Source organism: Homo sapiens, chromosome 5, assembly GCF_000001405.40.
Source record: "Homo sapiens chromosome 5, GRCh38.p14 Primary Assembly".
Lineage (NCBI taxonomy): Eukaryota > Metazoa > Chordata > Mammalia > Primates > Hominidae > Homo > Homo sapiens.
The window spans coordinates 133,068,011-133,085,516 of record NC_000005.10 but is presented as its reverse complement, the minus strand read 5'-3'; the positions used below and the strand labels follow the sequence as shown (position 1 = coordinate 133,085,516).

Genomic DNA, 17,506 nt, shown 5'->3' with positions numbered 1-17,506 from the left:
CGGCTAATTTTGTATTTTTTTTTTTTTAGTAGAGATGGGATTTCACCATGTTGGTCAGGCTGGTCTTGAACTCCTGACCTCAAGTGATTCACCTGCCTCACCTTCCAAAGTGCTGAGATTACAGGCATGAGCCATCGCACCCGGTCGTCTGCATAGTTTTGCCTTTTCCAAAATGTCATATAGTTGGAATCCTACAGTATGCAGATTTTTCAAATTGGCTTCTTTCACTTGGCAATATGCATTTAAGGTTCCTCAATGTCTTTTCACAGCCTGATTACTCACTCATTTAGGGTTTAAGAAGTAATGAAAACGTTCTAAAATTTAGTTGTGATGATGGCTGCTGAGCTCTACGAACATACTAAAAAAAAAAAAATTTTTTTTTAAATCGCTGAATTATACACGTTAAAAGGGTGACTTCTAGTTGGGTGCAGTGGCTCACGCCTGTAGTCCCAACACATCATGAAGCTAAGGCTTGAGCCCAGGAGTTCAAGACCAGCCTGGACAACACAGCAAAACCCCATCTCTACAAAACATACAAGAAATTAGCCAGGCATGGTGGCGCACACCTGTAGTCTCAGCTACCCAGGAAGCTGAGGCAGGAGGATCACCTGGGCCTGGGAGGTCGAAGCTACAGTGAGCCATGATCAACCCATTGCACTCCAGCCTGGGCAATAGGTATCCTTTCTCCAAAAAAAAGGGAAAAGTGGGTAACTTTATTAAATTACATCTCAATAAAAAAGAATAGTAGGCTGGGTGCGGTGGCTCATGCCTGTAAACTCAGCACTTCGGGAGGCTGAGGCGGGTGGATCACCTCAAGTCGGGAGTTTGAGACCAGCCTGACCAACATGGAGAAAGCCCGTCTCTACCAAAAATACAAAATTAGCCAGGCGTGGTGGTGCATGCCTGTAATCCCAGCTATTTGGGAGGCTGAGGCAGGAGAATCGCTTGAACCTGGAAGGCAGAGGTTGCAGTGAGCCGAGATCAGGACACTGCACTCCAACCTGGACGAAAAGAGTGAAACTCCATCTCAAAAAAAAAGAATAGTAAAGTATAGAATGCACCCACCAGAGCATGCAAAACTTAAGGATTGCTAACCTCAATACTGGTGAGATGTGTAGCAACCAGAGATCTTACATGTTCAAGTTTAAAATGTTTTACTTCTAATAGAAAAAAAAGCTAAAGAGTCACTGTCCATCAATAACAACAAACCTACAATGGCACAGTAGTTAGCAATACAGAAGAACAACAAATGGCATGTGAAACAAACAAATGAATCTCAATTTTATGCTGACTAAAAAATGCCTTACACAAAAAACTACATAATACATGATTCCACTTACAAGAAGTTACAGAATTGGCAAACTTAATCTAGGGACTGAAAAATACAAAAAGCACATCAGTGGTTATGGAAGCCTGAGGAAACATTCCAACATAATGGTCTATTTCATAATAATGGCATTAGTTACAAAGATATATGTGTATGTTGAAACTCAGCAAATGAGCACTTAAAACCTGAGTATGTCATATAAAAATATATCCAAAAAACAATGAATTCTGGTTAATATGCAAACCTTAGTATTTGGGGAGAAGTCTACATTTATAGATGTCCGCAATTTAAGTTTCTGCAAGAAGTATACAGATGCAATTTACTTTGAGATATGCTAAAAACAAAATTGAGGCCAGGCCACGCAGTAGCTCACACCTGTAATCCCAGCACTTTGGGAGACTGAGGCGGGCGGATCACCTGAGGCTGGGAGTTCAAGACCAGCCTGACCAACACGGAGAAACAACATCTCTACAAAAAATACAAAATTAGCTGGGTGTGGTGGTGCATGCCTGTAACCCCAGCTACTTGGGAAGCTGAGGCAGGAGAATCACTTGAACCCGGGAGGCGGAGGTTAAGGTGAGCTGAAATCATGCCATTGCACTCCAGCCTGGGCAACAAGAGCAAAACTCCATCTCAAAAAATAATAATAATAAAAAAATTAAAAATTGATGGCTTTATAGGATATATGAACAAATATATAATAAAACAAGTACAGTAAATGTTATCAGTAGACTCTAAGTGGTGGGATGAGGACATTTACTGTAAAATTCTTCCAACTTTGTTGCATGTCTGAAACTATCTGAAATCAAAATTGTGAAAAGCAAAGGAAAAGATTGTTAAGAAGATGGCAACAGCGGTAGGGGTTTGTTTGTTTTTTTGAGATGGAGTCTCATTCTGTCACCCAGGCTGGAGTGCAGTGGCACGATCTCAGCTCACTGCTACCTCCGCCTCCCAGGTTCAAGCAATTCTCCCACCTCAGCCTCCGGAGTAGCTGGGACTGCAGGTGCACGCCACCAAGCCCGGGTAATTTTTTTTTTTTTTTTTTGTATTTTTTTGAGATGGAGTCTCGCTCTGTCATCCAGGCTGGAGTGCAGTGGCAGTATCTCGGCTCACTGCAGCCTCCACCTCCCGGGTCCAAGCAATTCTCCTGCCTCAGCCTCCCGAGTAGTTGGGATTACAGGCACCCACCACTACACCCGGCTAATTTTTGTATTTTTAGTAGAGATGGGGTTTCACCATATTGGCCAGCTGGTCTCAAACTCCTGAACTCAGGTGATCCACCCACCTCAGCCTCCCAAAATGCTGGGATTACAGGCGTGAGCCACCATGCCTGGACAGTAGAGGTTTTTTGATAGTTTCTTTTTAAAAAGTTTTATTGCAATATAATTTACATGCTATAGAATTCACCCATTTAAAGTATATAATTCCCGTCCGGGTGAGGTGGCTCACACCTGTAATCCTAGGACTTTGGGAGTCTGAGGAGGGTGGCCGAGCTCAGGAATCTGAGACCAGCCTGAGCAATATGGCAAAATCCTGTCTCTACAAAAAATACAAAAATTGGCCAGATATGTCGGTGAACACCTATACTCCCATCTACTTGGGGGTCTGAGGTGGGAGGATCTCTAGAACCCGAGAGAGTGAGGCTGCAGTGAGCGGAGATAGTACCACTGCACTCCAGACTGCATGACAACGTGAGAACTTGTTTCAAAAAGAAATAAATTTTAAAAATTAAAAAGATAAAAATAAAGTATGTAATTATTGACTTTTGGGCATGAGGTTTTGGTACAAAAATATTTTTAAAGTATACAATTCAGTGACTTCATATATACAGAGTTGTGCAAGCATCGCCACAATCAATTTTAAAACATTTTCAGTCTAAAAAAGAATATTTTCATCACCCTTAACTGTTACTTTCCTCAACTCCCACAGCCCTAGGCAATCACTAAATCTACTTTCTGTCTCTATAGATTTGCCAATTCGGGGCATTTCATATAAATAGAATCATACAAAATGTGGCCTTTTGTGACTTCTTTCAGCAGCGTGAACTTTTGAAGGTTCACCCATGTTTTAGTATGTATCTGTATTACATTTTTTTCAAGTACCAAAAATATCCCATTGTATGAACATAGCATGTTTTATTTACCCACTTCATCAGTTGATGAACATTTGGGTTGTTTCCACTTTTTGTCTATTATGAGTAGTGCAATGAACATTCACATATGAGTTTTTCTGTGGACATGTGTTTCCATTTCTCTTGAATATGTATCTAGAAATACAACTGCTGAATGATGTGATAATTTGATGCAGATTTTTTTGGTTTTGTTTTTGAGAGGCTTTCCCTCTGTCACCCAGGCTGGAGCGCAGTGGCACAATCATGGTTCACAGAAGCCTCCATCTCCTGGGCTTAAACAATCCTGCAACAAAACTAGGTAATGAAATATGCCCACAAACCTCAAAATACATATAGGCAGAGACAAACCACCCACAACTACAATTCCTGCTTAGTATCAGCTCTGTACAAAATAAACAGAAGGAAACAAAAGGGTATATAATTGACCTGAAAACTCCAGAATAACCTAACTCAGAGAGCCAAATTGAAAACAGCAGCTGAAATCAGCAGGGGTTTGGCATCCTCCAAAACAAGTATAAAAGGTCCTCAAATAAGGTATTCAGGAACCACAGCAAACTGGGCCCTACCTAAAGTTATCTTCAAAGAAAAAAGAACTCACTGAAGAAAAACTACTGATTAAAAAATCCAAACTAAGCAGAACAACACAGTAAACACAAAAGAGGGAGGGAAAACATCTCAGAAAGTTAAGCCACATTTTTAAAATATTTCACAAAAACAAAAGAGGGACTCACACTTATAATCCCCGCACTTTGAGAGGCAGAGGCGGGTGGATGACTCGAGGTCAGCAGTTCAAGACCAGCATGGCCAACATGGCGAAACCCCATCTCTACTAAAAATACGAAAATTAGCTGGGCGTGGTGGCCCCCACCTGTAATTCCAGCTACTGAGGAGGCTGAGGCATGAGAATCATTTAAACCCGGGAGGTGGAGGTTGAAGCAAGCCAAGATCATACCACTGCACTCCAGCCTGGGTGACCTACTGAGACTCTGTCTCAAAAAAAAAAGAACAGGCAAATCTATAGAGACAGAAAACATATTGGTAATTGCCTAGGGTATGGAGGGAAATGGAGAGTAAATGCTAATGGGTACAAGTTTTCTTTTTGGGGTGATAAAAACATTCTAGAATTAAATAGTGGTCACAGTTGCACAACCCTGGAATTGTACACTTTAAAATAGTAAGGTTTTATGGTATGTGAATTATATCTCAATAAAAGTGATACAGGAAATGAAAGAACAAATCAGAATTAGAAAGACCTAGAACAGAATTAGAAGTATAAGAATAAATGTCAGAAATGAAAACTAAACAGTACACAAGAGAAATGCCATGAAGGACTGGACCAAAAATGGCAAATACAAAAAAAAGGCAAACTAAAAAAAAATATATATATATGTAAGATAGGCAAGGAAGATCCAACATAATTATGTAGGAATTCCCAAAAGAGAAAACCACAGCACTACAACAGAATACTAGAAAACATAATTCAAGAAAACTTAAGAAATTTTAATTAAACTTAAATTTGTAATGTCAAACTATATAATGAAAAGGCACACTGCGTACCTGGAAAAAAACTGATGCAAAATAACCAACATCAAAATATAGTGTAGTAAAATTATTGGGTTTTTTTTTTTTTTTTTTTTTTTTGAGACAGGGTCTCACTCTCATCACCCTGGCTGGAGTGCAATGTGGTGTGATCATGGTTCGCTGCAGCCTCGACTTACTAAGCTCAGGTGATCCTCCCACCTCCGCCTCCCGAGTAGCCGGTACTACAAGCGAACACCACCACATCAAGCTACTTTTTTGTATTTTTAGTAGAGACGAGGTTTTGCCATGTTGCCCAGGCTGGTCTCGAACTCCTGAGCTCAAGCCATCCGCCCACCTCGACGTCCCAAAGTGCTAGGATTACAGGTGTGAGCCACCACACCCAAATGGACTTTCAAGAAAAAAAAAAATCAAAAACATTTGGGCATCTAAGCAAAAAGAACAAGTGACAAATATCTAAAAACTATGCTGTCACACTTTGACAGCAATATTATACACCAAAAGAAAATAGATTGTTACTGCATTTAAGATCCTCAACAAGGAAAGAAAAGCTAAGAATGTTCTATCCAGCTAAAGTGACTTTTAAGTATAAACATGGCAAACTGTCATCAACATGCAGGAACTTAAGGAACACTATTCACATGTGCTATCCCTTAGGAATCTGCAGGAGAATGCACTTCCAACCATCAAAACGATGAATTAACACAAAGCTACTAGTAATCTACCAAAATAATCCAAATAATTGAAAATAAGTGTTGACAAAGACGTGGAGAAACTGAAACCCAGTAGGGCGCTGGTGGGGATAATCACTGAGAAATATAGTTTGGAGATTCCTCAAAAAGTTAAACATAGAATTGCTGTATAAGCCAGCAATTCCACTCCTAGGTATATAAGCAAAAGACCTGAAAACAAGTACTTGTTCACAAATGTCCATAGCACTATTCACAATAGCTAAAAAGTAGAAACCCAAATGTCCATCAGCAAACGAATGGATGAATAAAATATGGTATATCCATACAAGAAAATAATATCTGCCCAAAAAAACAAATTAAGTACTGATACAGAATGTGGATGAACCTCAAAAACATTACACTGAGAAGTCAGAACGAAAGAAGCCAGACGCATATTACATGATTACACTTATATGAAATATCCAGAATAGATAAATCCACAGAAACAGAAAACAGGCTGTTGATCACCAGGGACCAGAGGTAAGGGGAAACAGGAAATAATCACCTACTGGGTATGAAGTTTTATTCTGGGGTGATGAAAATGTTTTTCCATTACATAGAGGTGGCCATTGCACAACCCTGTGAATTTACTAAATTCCAGTGAATTGTTTACTTTAAAATGCTTAATTTTATGATACTTGAATTTCACCTCAAGTTTTTAAGTGAAGAAACCATTAATTAAAAGAAATATAATGTCAAATAATCTGGTTTCATCGATTTAAACAAAGGTGAATGTTAAAAGACTAAATGAAGGGGGCCAGGCACAGTATCTCGTGCCTGTAACCCCAGTACTTTGGGAGGCTAAGGCAGGCAGATCACTTGAGTCCAGAAGTTCAAGACCAGCCTGGGCAACATGGTGACACCCAGTCTCTACAAAAAATACAAAAATTAGCCAGGCGTGGTGGCACGTGCCTGTAGTCCCAGCTACTCAGGAGACTGAGGCAGGAGGATCACTTGAGCCCAGGAAACAGAGGGTGCAGTGAGCCAAGATCACACCACTACACTCCAGCCTAGGTGACAGAGTAAGATCCTGTCTCAAAAAAATAACAACAACAATAATCACACTAAATGAAGGCTATAATATAGAACATATAAGAGCTACGTATTCTGATGATGTAAATACAGTACAACTTTTTTTTTTTTTTTTTTTTTTGGAGACAGTGTCTCACTTTGTTGCCCAAGCTAGAGTACAGTGGCACGATCTCAGCTCACTGCAACCTTCATCTCCCAAGTTCAAGCGATTCTCCTGCCTCAGCCTCCCAAGTAGCTGGGATTACAGGCGCCTGCCACCACACCCAGCTAGTTTTTGTATTTTTAGTAGAGAAAGAGTTTCACCTCGTTGGCTAGGCTGGTCTCTAACTCCTAACCTCAAGTGATGCACCTGCCTCCCAAAGTGCTGGGATTACAGGAGTGAGCCACCATGCCCCATCACAGTACAACTATTTTTTTTTTTTCTTTTGAGACGGAGTCTCACTGTCGCCCAGGCTGGAGTGCAGTGGTGCGATCTCAGCTCACTGCAAGCTACACCTCCCAGGTTCACACCATTCCCCTGCCTCAGCCTCCCCAGCAGCTGGGACTACAGGCACCCGCCACCATACCCGGCTAATTTCTTGTATTTTTAGTAGAGACGGGGTTTCACCATGTTAGCCAGGATGGTCTCAATCTCCTGACCTCGTGATCCGCCTGCCTCTGCCTCCCAAACTGCTGGGATTACAGGCGTGAGCCACCGTACCAGGCCACAACTATTTTCAAACAACAGCACACAGGCAAATTCAGTTTTTAAAAAATTTAAACTACTTAATAAGTATCTACTTAGCTCTTACAAACACGTAACATTTCACTAACAATTTCTTAAACATACTGGCTTACCTCCAGACTTCATGGAACACACATACACACACACAAGACTGCTGCTTAACAAAAACGAAAGCCATCTCTTCCAAGTAGGGGGAGAGGTGACTAAAAATTTGGATACAAAGCAACAATAAACACCATTTCAATTTTTTTACGGATAGCTCAGGCCCATGTCTCCAAATACACCATCAGTCTTGCCTGAATTCTACCAGTAGAGTTCACAGCCAAAAGAACATCTTACTCCCATCATCCAAGCAACTGAACCAGGCAACAATAACACTCTGGGTAGTTTCTGAGGATAACCCCGAAATGTCAATTACCCAGAATTCTTGCAGCACTATACAAAAAGAGCTGTCACCCTCAAGTGAACCCGAATATTTCAAAAAGAAAAATTTCGGGCTAGGCACGGTGGCTCACACCTGTAATCCTCATACTTTGGGAGGCTGAGGTGGGTGGATCACCTGAGGTCAGGAGTTTGAGACCAGCCTGGCCAACATGGCGAAACACCGTCCCTACTAAAAATACAAAAATTAGCTGGGCGTGGTGGCAGGCACCTATAACCCCAGCTACTCAGGAGGCTGAGGCAGGAGAATCGCTTGAACCTGGGGGTGGAGGTTGCAGTGAGTTGAGATTGTGCCACTTTACTCCAGCCTGGGCAAAACAGCAAAAACCTCCATCTCAAAAAAAAAATTACAATTTCTTAGTCACTGGGTAAATTAAATTCAATTTAATTCTGCATTACAGCCCTTTGCCCTGATTTTTTGGAAACTGAAATCTCGTGTATAACAAATGCATATGTAAAGAACTATCAACATGTTGGAATATTCAATTTATCAGAACAAAAACATTAGTCTACATTATTAACCAGACCCAACTTTACATAAAAAGCAGGGTCCTGAATGGCTTCTAATTTTTAAAATAGAACCAAAATTATCATATAACCTCCGTGATTATTTTAACAATTAGCCAATTAAAGGTTAATATATGTGGAGAAAACTCACTCTTCACTTTAACATCGAAATAGTAATATACTTACCTATTCATAGTTCCAGATACATCAACATCATTCATAAAACATTCAATGCTCAAAGGGAGATCTGAAGCATTTGCACTCATCAATTTCTTGAGTTTCTCACACTCCTGAGAGAGTCGTAATAATGCACGGATTTTGGACTTAATGTCTAGCTTGTATTTCTTCCCAAATTCTTCACAGAAGTGATTTACTAACACTTCATCAAATTTTCTACCTCCCAATGTCGTGTCAAATGCAGTGGCCAGAACCTTAAGGAAAAAATGAGAATTAATCTAACAATTAACCAATCGATTTTGAAACAGATGATATATATTTACCTGGTAAGTTGTTTATCTAAAAAAAAAGAGGGAGGGTTACATTAAGGTTAAAACAAAGCAATGTATACATCATTTAATCCTTATTACCCCACACTGTAAAAATAGGCACTATAATCCCCAATTTACAGATAATGCTACAGACCTAGACAGATGAGATAAACTGCAGTTCACAAAGCTACTAAGTGGTAGAAGTGGAATTCAAAGCCAAATCTCCTTAATTCCAAAGTCCATGCCCTCCCCACTACACCAGTCTGACAACCAATAGCAGTTACATGTCCAAGGTAAAATATACTAACATGTCATGTACATACTTCTAGTCTACTCAGTATCACAAAACTGAGTAATACCAAAGGCTCAACTCTCTGCAGTTTACTACCAAAGGATTCCTTAAAGCCTTAGCTCACCGCAATGTGTTTCTATTTAACCTGGAAGTCTAATTAGCCTGGGTTACCCGTTTTCAAATCTCTAACAGATTAGAAGCAAACTAGATCTAATTAGATTCAGTAATAGAAGTTAGGCTAAATAAGTGATGACATCCTTATGAAGGAATAAAACCAGTAAAAACAATCTCTTCAAAGAATGCTACACGTCATGGGGGAAATTTTCTTAGTATGTTAACTTAAAAAAAGACAGGACACAGAGCTAAATATAGTGACTCCAATTCTGTTTTCTTAGAAAATTAGAATGAAATACATCAAGCTGTTAAGAATGGTAAGATTGTAAGTAACTTTTCTTTATTTTTTTTTCTTTTTTTTGAGACAGGGTCTCACTCTGTTGCCCAGGCTGGAGTGCAGTGGCACAATCTCAGCTCACTGTAGCCTCGACCATCCAGGCTCAAGCAATCCCGCCACCCCAGCATCCCAAGTAGCTAGGACTACAGGCACACATCACCACATCCAGCTAATTTTTGTATTTTCTTTGTAGAGACGGGGTTTTGCCATGTTGCCCAGGCTGTTCTCAAACTCCGGGCTCAAGCAATCCCCCCACCTCAGCCTCCAGAGTAGCTAGGACTACAAGCACACCGCCACACCCAGCTAACTTTTGTAGAGACAGGGTTTTACCATGTTGCCCAGACTTGTCTTTACACATAAATGTTTTCCAATTTGGGGAGATTTTTGTAATGAATATTTTTATAATTTAAAAGTAATCAAAAGGATTGCAAAACTGACAGGTGACAGGTAACACAGAAGGACAATTTAGAAAAACAGAAGCAGATGGCTACTAATACACATCGTTCTGATCCAAAGCCAGGCTAAATTATAACCAGAGTCTTCCGTTTAAAAAGATGAAAGCATAGCATAGATCTTAGAAATTCTATTAGTGATTAAAGTTTAAACACTGAGAATTACATTTGGTCCACCATTTATAGCTGTCAAAAAGCAAAATCACAAATCTCTCATTTCCCAATTATCTAAAAGACTCGCTTTCTTTTTATTTAAAAACAAAACCACCTAGAAACAATATAAAACCAGAAAATAAAGTGGAAACGTCTATTTTTCAAAGAAACAAGACCATAACAAATGAAGTCTCAAAATGCCTCCAAAATTACCAAATATTTAGTTTGGGGTAATCCCTCTCCACCAATCTCCAATGGGTACAAGGCAGTCAATTCAGACCTTGGCACCAACAATTTTAATATACAATTCAAATAATTAAAGCAAACACTTGAGAAATCCTTGGTTCTTCACCAAATTCTAGATAAAATCATCTAGACAGAGAATTTTATACCCTACTGTGGAACTAGCATAAACCAGCAAACTCAACTATGACAGAGATCAATCACCCTCTGGCCCCTCCTTGCCTTCTATACTTCTGTGTGTACAAAACTGCTTAAACTTTAGGCTTTCTAGAAATCTATAATTCCTAGTCCAGTTTGTTTTGGCATCCAAAAGAAACCCCTTTTCCAGAACACTCAAAACCTCATGAGCAAGAGTACAGAGCACCTGTACCACCCTCTCAATCCCCAGTGTAAAATTCACCAAGGAACTACATGTTAAAAAATCCTCCTGCTGGGCGCCGTGGCTCACGCCTGTAATGCCAGCACTTTGGGAGGCCGAGGCAGGTGGATCACCTCAGGTCGGGAGTTCGAGACCAGCCTGACCAACATGGATAAACCCCGTCTCTACTAAAAATACAAAATTAGCCGGGCGTGGTGGCACATGCCCGTAATCCCAGCTACTAGGGAGGCTGAGGCAGGAGAATCGCTTGAACCTGGGAGGTGGAGGTTGCGGTGAGCCAAGATCGCGCCATTGCACTCCAGCCTGGGCAACAAGAGCGAAACTCTATCTCAAAAAAAAAAAAGAGAAAAAAAAGAAAGAAAAGAAAAAAAATCCTCTGAATAACCCTGTAAGGTATGCATTGTTTCTCCCATATTGTAGATGAGAAAAAATCATTGTCTCTCAAAATTTCATAATTACCATACTACTAACAGTCTTCTGGAAAAAAAATATATACTTACTTTCAGTTTTCCTCTATTAAATGCACATACAGAAACTTGATAAGCAGAGTGGCCCATGTCTACAAAAACTACATTTCTTGGTTTCTCTTCTAAGGCAGGAAGATCCTGCTTATAGATTCCATATGCAAGAGCAACTACAGAAGAAAAAACACAAAAATTAAAAATAACGTCTAAGTAAATAAAATTCATTTAAGCAGGAAAAAAGAGGTTTTATATATAACGAATGCAACTACATGTGTTATGTTTTAGAAATCAAATTCTTTATAAGCACTGTATAATTTATTCAAGAAAAAGATTATCTTCCAAGAGTTAAATACTGATATTCACTTAGACTTCCTTACAGTTGCCAATGGACTTTGGCATAATTTTCTCCAAGCCATTTCCCCCATTTTCCAAATATATTTTCCTGGATCTTTTCTACCCCTATGCTATGTTAACATCCCCGCATGTTCTGTCCATGAGATGCTGCTTAATGTCCCATTCCTCTGACTCTACCAGTCCACAAGTCTAAGAGAAGACCAGTCTTTAACCCAAAGCACTGCTCCACACGCTAAGTGTTCTCCTTCCCCAACAAGCATGTGTTTAAATACCAAAATGCATGCTATAAAGGTACACAAAAAGCACTGGTCAGATTAATTCTTCACAAGTGACACAGTATCCAAAAACACCATGACCACAGTGGTAAGCAAGAGCAGCAGTGCTGAAAGCAAAATAAAGAGCAAGAAACCCCAGGGTTTTAAAATTTCACAATCTTCAAGATTAACCAAGTCAAAAAAATAATCAACGGTCCTCCTTACCTGCAGTGGTTTCATTCATTAATCGCAAGCAATTAAGACCAGCAATCTGTGTTGCATCCATCACTGATCGTCTTTCTGCATCAGTATAGAAACAAGGAACCTACAAAAAAAAAAAAGAATGCTTACTGTATTATAGATTCTAATTTTAGTTAGTAAAATCCAGGAACACCATCAAATACCTACAGCAATTTATTCTGTATATGATCAAGAAAATATTTCAAACTAGTAGGGAAAAGTTAGAATATTTAGTAAGCAGTGTTAGGATAAACAAATAGCCGTACCATTACCTTACATATACTCATTACATGGCAGACCAAAATACCAACAGCTGAAGTAGTGACTGCAGAGAAGAGTTAATATAAAGGCCAGAAACTGCTATCCTTAGAAAACACCTGCTTGCATGTTGGTCCTTGCCTGGCATCTAGGACCTTGATTTGCAAACAGTTCACTAAATCAATAGAAAAAATTTCCCTAAATGATTAAGAGTGGTTCACTGTACCTAAACTGTTTATATAAACATGCAGCTTGTGCTGACTACCGGCTTTCCTTCTGGGAGTTGGAATTTTGGTTCATGCTAGGTATAGGGTACCAATGTGACAGACCCCTGATGAAAACCATGGACTAGCCAGGCGTGGTGGCTCACGCCTGTAATCCCAGCACTTTGGGGGGCCGTGGTGGGTGGATCACCTGATGTCACGAGTTTGAGACCAGCCTGGCCAACATGGTGAAACCCCATCTCTACAAAAAATACAAAAAAAAAAAAAAAATAAACCACTAGCTGGGTGTGGTGGCACATGCCTGTAATCCCAGCTACTCCAAAGGTTGAGGCTTGAACCTGGGAGGTGGAAGCTGCAGTGAGCCAAGATCATGCCACTGCACTCCCAGCTGGGAAACAAGAGCGAAACTCAGTCTCCAAAAAAAAAAAAAAAAAAAAAAACAACCCTGGACCAGGCTAGGCAGAACTCCTGTGGTAGAGGACATTTCACCCGTATTGTTACAACCTGTTGCTGGAGTTAAGCACAGGCTGACTCTGGGAAGCTTGTGCCTGGTTTCCTCCAGACTCTGCCTCATGTGCCTTTTCCCTTTGTTGATTTTGCTTTGTATCCCTTCACTACAATAAATCTTAGCATGAGAATAGCTATACGCTAGGGCCCGTGAACCCTCCTAAGCAAATTACCAAAACTCCAGTGTGATCTTGAGGCCCCACCCAAACATGACTCAACACTATCACCTTTTAACTTGATACCCAAAACTGGAAGACACTTACGCATTCCAATATTTTACATAAATTTTACTCCCACACAGAGTGTTATGCAGGATCAAAGCTAGGGGCACTAGATGGAGGAATGGAAACAAATCTGGGAGACCAATGGAAGAGCTGAGGAAAGGTAGGAAACATCTAAGAAATACAGGATCTGGTGTATCAGCCACTGGGGAATCAAGGTCACTGAATCTGAGCTTTTTAAAGGAACACAGAATTTTCATTCTTCTATAAAGAATAAAGCCCACCCCCAGAATGGTGTACACAACTATAATCCAATTCTTTCTGACAAATGTCAATTCTACTTTACAATAACCAAGGACCAAGAAATCCGCCAGGCAACAGACTCTGGGGTGAAAAAGCCACCTAACAGTCCTTGCTTTGCCAATCAATGCACCAACATTAAGACAAAAGAGGCCATGAAACTAAAGTATCAGGTAACAATTACAGAATGAGGAGATTCGGTGGCAAAGCCAATGTAACCACACATATTTCAACAGTCCCTAAGGATTCCACCAAACTAAAGCACAAAACTACAGTAGCCAGGCTTCCATCTTAACAGGGATATGCAAAAGATAAAGTCAACTGCTGCCATGTCTTTGTTTTTTGGATAAGTTTTTTGAGACAGGGTCTCAGTCTGTTGTCCAGGCTAGAATGCAGTGGTGTGATCACAGCTCACTGCAGCCTCAAACTCCTGGGCTCGAATGAGCCTCCCAAGTAGCTGGGACTACAGGTGTGTGCCACCATGCCCAGCTAATTTTTTTTTTTTTTTTTTTTTTTTTTTGGTAAAGACAGGGATCTCATTGTGTTGCCCAGGCTGGTCTCAAACAATCTTCCTGCCCTGGCCTCCCACAGTGCTGGGATTAAACCACCATGCCCAGTCCTTGCCTTTGTCTTTAACGCTAGATACCAACAGCAAATACAAATACAGAACAAGTGCCATTTACAATTAGGGGTATCCAACTAATTCAACAAATGAGTGGCTACCCTGTGCTATGCTAGGCGATGAAAAAAATACAGGAAGAAGTGGGCAGGCTGAGATGAATGCACCTTGAAAAACAGAAGAGATTTAAATAGGCAGAATAACAAAGGAGGCCTGAGCAAAAGCTAAGCAGCAGAAGAGAGTAAGAAAATGAAGACTAGTTTCATAAATTTTTTTTTTCTTTGAAACAGAGTTTTGCTCTTGTCACCCAGGCCGAAGTGCAATGGCATGATCTCGGCTCACCGCAACCTCAGCCTCCCGGGTTGAAGTGATTCTCCTGCCTCAGCCTCCCGAATAGCTGGGATTACAGGTGCCCATCACCACGCCCAACTAATTTTTGTATTTTTAGTAGAGACGGGGTTTTACCATGTTGGCCAGGCTGGTCTCGAACTCCTGACCTCAGGTGATCCACCCACCTTGGCCTCCCAAAGTGCTGGGATTACAGGCGTGAGCCACTGCACCCGGCCTGACAAACATTTTAAATAACCATTACAACCTGAGACAAAAAAACAAGTTTACTTGAAATTAGCAGCTTTCTTCTCTCTGCTTCTTCATGCAAATTCCCAATAATGTATAGGGATCAAACTCACCGAAACAACACAGTCAACTACAGGCTTCTTAAGAACACTTTCGGCTGTCTCCTTCAGTTTGGACAAAAGCATGGCAGTCACTTGCTCAGTGGTAAAATTTCGCTCTTCCTCCATATATGTCACCTGCAAGAAAACAACAAAGGGGCCTAGACTTATTATATTTCTTTCTTCATGTCCTAGTCCTAAAAGCTAAAATGAACAATGCTTCCCATTATCAATGCAACATTATCTCAAGAGGGGATTGAAAAAAAAAAAAAGCTAGTTTTCGAAGTAATACCTTGAAGGTCACTTTTAGCTTCTTTTTTTATTATTATTATTATTTTGGAGGCAGGGTCTCTCTCTCTGTCATTCTCTCTCTCTGGAGCGCCGTGGCATGATCACAGCTCACTGGAGACTTAACCTCCTGGGTTTAAGCAATCCTCCTGCCTCAGCCTCCCAAGTAGCGGGGAGCAAAAGCACATGTCACCATACCTAGCTAATTTATTTTTTTCTTGCAGAGACAGGGTTCTTGCTTTGTTGCCGATGCTGGTCTCAAAACTCCTGGCTTCAAGGAATCCTCCTGCCTCGGCCTCCCAAAGTGCTGGGATTACAGGCATGAGCCACCACGCATAGCCTATTTTAGCTTTCAACCAAACACGATACTTGGAGATGAAGGACCACAGTGTAAAACAACAAATCTTAAGACAACTTCCTTTGCAAAGACAAATCAGTGTAGCTCACCATGACCCACACTGTCCCTCCATAAAGAGGCTGCTGGTAGAAACTATTTTACTATCTGACATACTATGTGTATTTTAATGTGTTTACTGTTTATTATCCATCTCCACAATTAGGATTCAATCTAATATGAGGACATGCATTTGTCTGATTGTTCACTGCCATAGCTCCAGCACCTAGAACAGGACCTGGCACAATATATACTGGTTGAATTAAATAATAAAAGATGGGCTAGGTGCAGTGGCTCACACCTGTAGTCCCAGCATTTTGGGAGGCTGAGGCGGGCAAATCACTTGAGGTTAGGAGTTCAAGACCAGCGTGACCAAAATGGTGAAACCCCATCTCTACTAAAAACACAAAAAATTAGCTGGGCATGATGGTCCATGCCTGTAATCCCAGCTACTAGGGAGACTGAAGCATGAGAATTGCTTGAACCCAGGAGGCAGAGGTTGCAGTAAACCTACATCGTGCCACTGCACTCCAGCCTAGGTGACACAGTGATATTGTCTCAAAAAAAAAAAAAAATTTTAAATAAGTAACAATAATGAACAAAGCTTCAAGATAAAGCCCTATTCCAGATAAAAGTCTGCAAATGTGATAACAGTTACGAATTTTAAATATTGAAGGACTGCCTAAAACAATCCCAACCCATCCTACATGCCCATATTCCCAAATTACAATCCAGAATAGAACATGTTGCTCTCTTCTTTTAGCTGCTGCCCTAACTCAAGCTTGCGTGCCACCTTCTGACTCCCCAGCCCAACCACAATTTATTATGGTTTAGAATTGAACAGTTCTTACTTTATTGCATGATAAAGATGGGGAAATATCCCTCCTGGTGCCCTTTCTAAATTATCTCTTTCTTCCCTGCTATTTGCCTAATTCTGAGGTCAATTCCACCACTTTTAGACTTGCATCTACTTGTTTCCCAAATCTTCTTCCTAGTCTTTTTCTCCTTTGCTTCTTGCAATGCTTATGAATAAATCTGCCAATACCTATCCTATTTCTTTATTTCTTATTTCTAATAAGTATTGCACATTTCTTCACCTCCCTTTTTAACCCCTTTCTCTCTCCTGTGCTTCAGCTTCATCTTTTACTATCCCATTCAAACTGTCCTTAATTACCACAGATATTTTAAGAAAACCCAGTCATCATTCTTTAATTTTCAGAATTTTTCACTTCTAAATACAACTAAATTATCAGCTACACTGCAACAGCAGACTACCTTTTTCTCATGGTTCTCAACATCTCTTGGCTTTCCAGCCTGTTCTCCTGATTCTTGGCCTCCAAAACCAAATCTCTCCGTAATCTCACCTGCCTGGAAAGCCAATCACGCCCCCACCCCCCCTCATGGATTCCTCTTACTACCTCTGAGTGCAAGAAAGGCAAATGTGTCCACCCTATCCATCTCCCAGCCTCTTACCCTTTTTCTGTGATCAGTTCACTGCATACTTCACAGAGACTCCACTAGATGTACCAGAGATAAAGACCAAACTCACTTTTCCCCAAAAGAACATCTCTTTCTAAATTAAATCCTATCTCCAAGAGTATGTCCATCTATCTGCTAGTGACTTAAAACTGTGATTCCTACCAGGTGCGGTGGCTCACGCCTGTAATCCCAGCACTTTGGGAGGCTGAGGCAGGGGAATCACAAGGTCAGGAGTTCGAGACCAACCTGGCCAACACAGTGAAACCCCGTCTCTACTAAAGATGCAAAAAACTACCCAGGCATGGTGGCACGTGCCTGTAATCCCAGCTACTTGGTAGGC

The 17,506-nt window shown here is 40.6% G+C and overlaps 1 protein-coding gene across 1 annotated transcript in view; it reads right to left on the bottom strand.

Moving 5' to 3' along the window:
* The window catches only part of HSPA4 (heat shock protein family A (Hsp70) member 4), a 54,437-nt gene that overhangs the window by 20,933 nt on the left and 15,998 nt on the right, over nucleotides 1–17,506 (bottom strand). The window contains exons 4-7 of the mRNA NM_002154.4: nucleotides 15,021–15,143; nucleotides 12,188–12,287; nucleotides 11,391–11,524; nucleotides 8,619–8,863 (exon numbers count right to left, since the gene is read on the bottom strand). Of these exons, the coding sequence (NP_002145.3) occupies nucleotides 8,619–8,863; nucleotides 11,391–11,524; nucleotides 12,188–12,287; nucleotides 15,021–15,143 (602 nt within the window). The remainder of the gene's footprint in view (nucleotides 1–8,618; nucleotides 8,864–11,390; nucleotides 11,525–12,187; nucleotides 12,288–15,020; nucleotides 15,144–17,506) is intronic.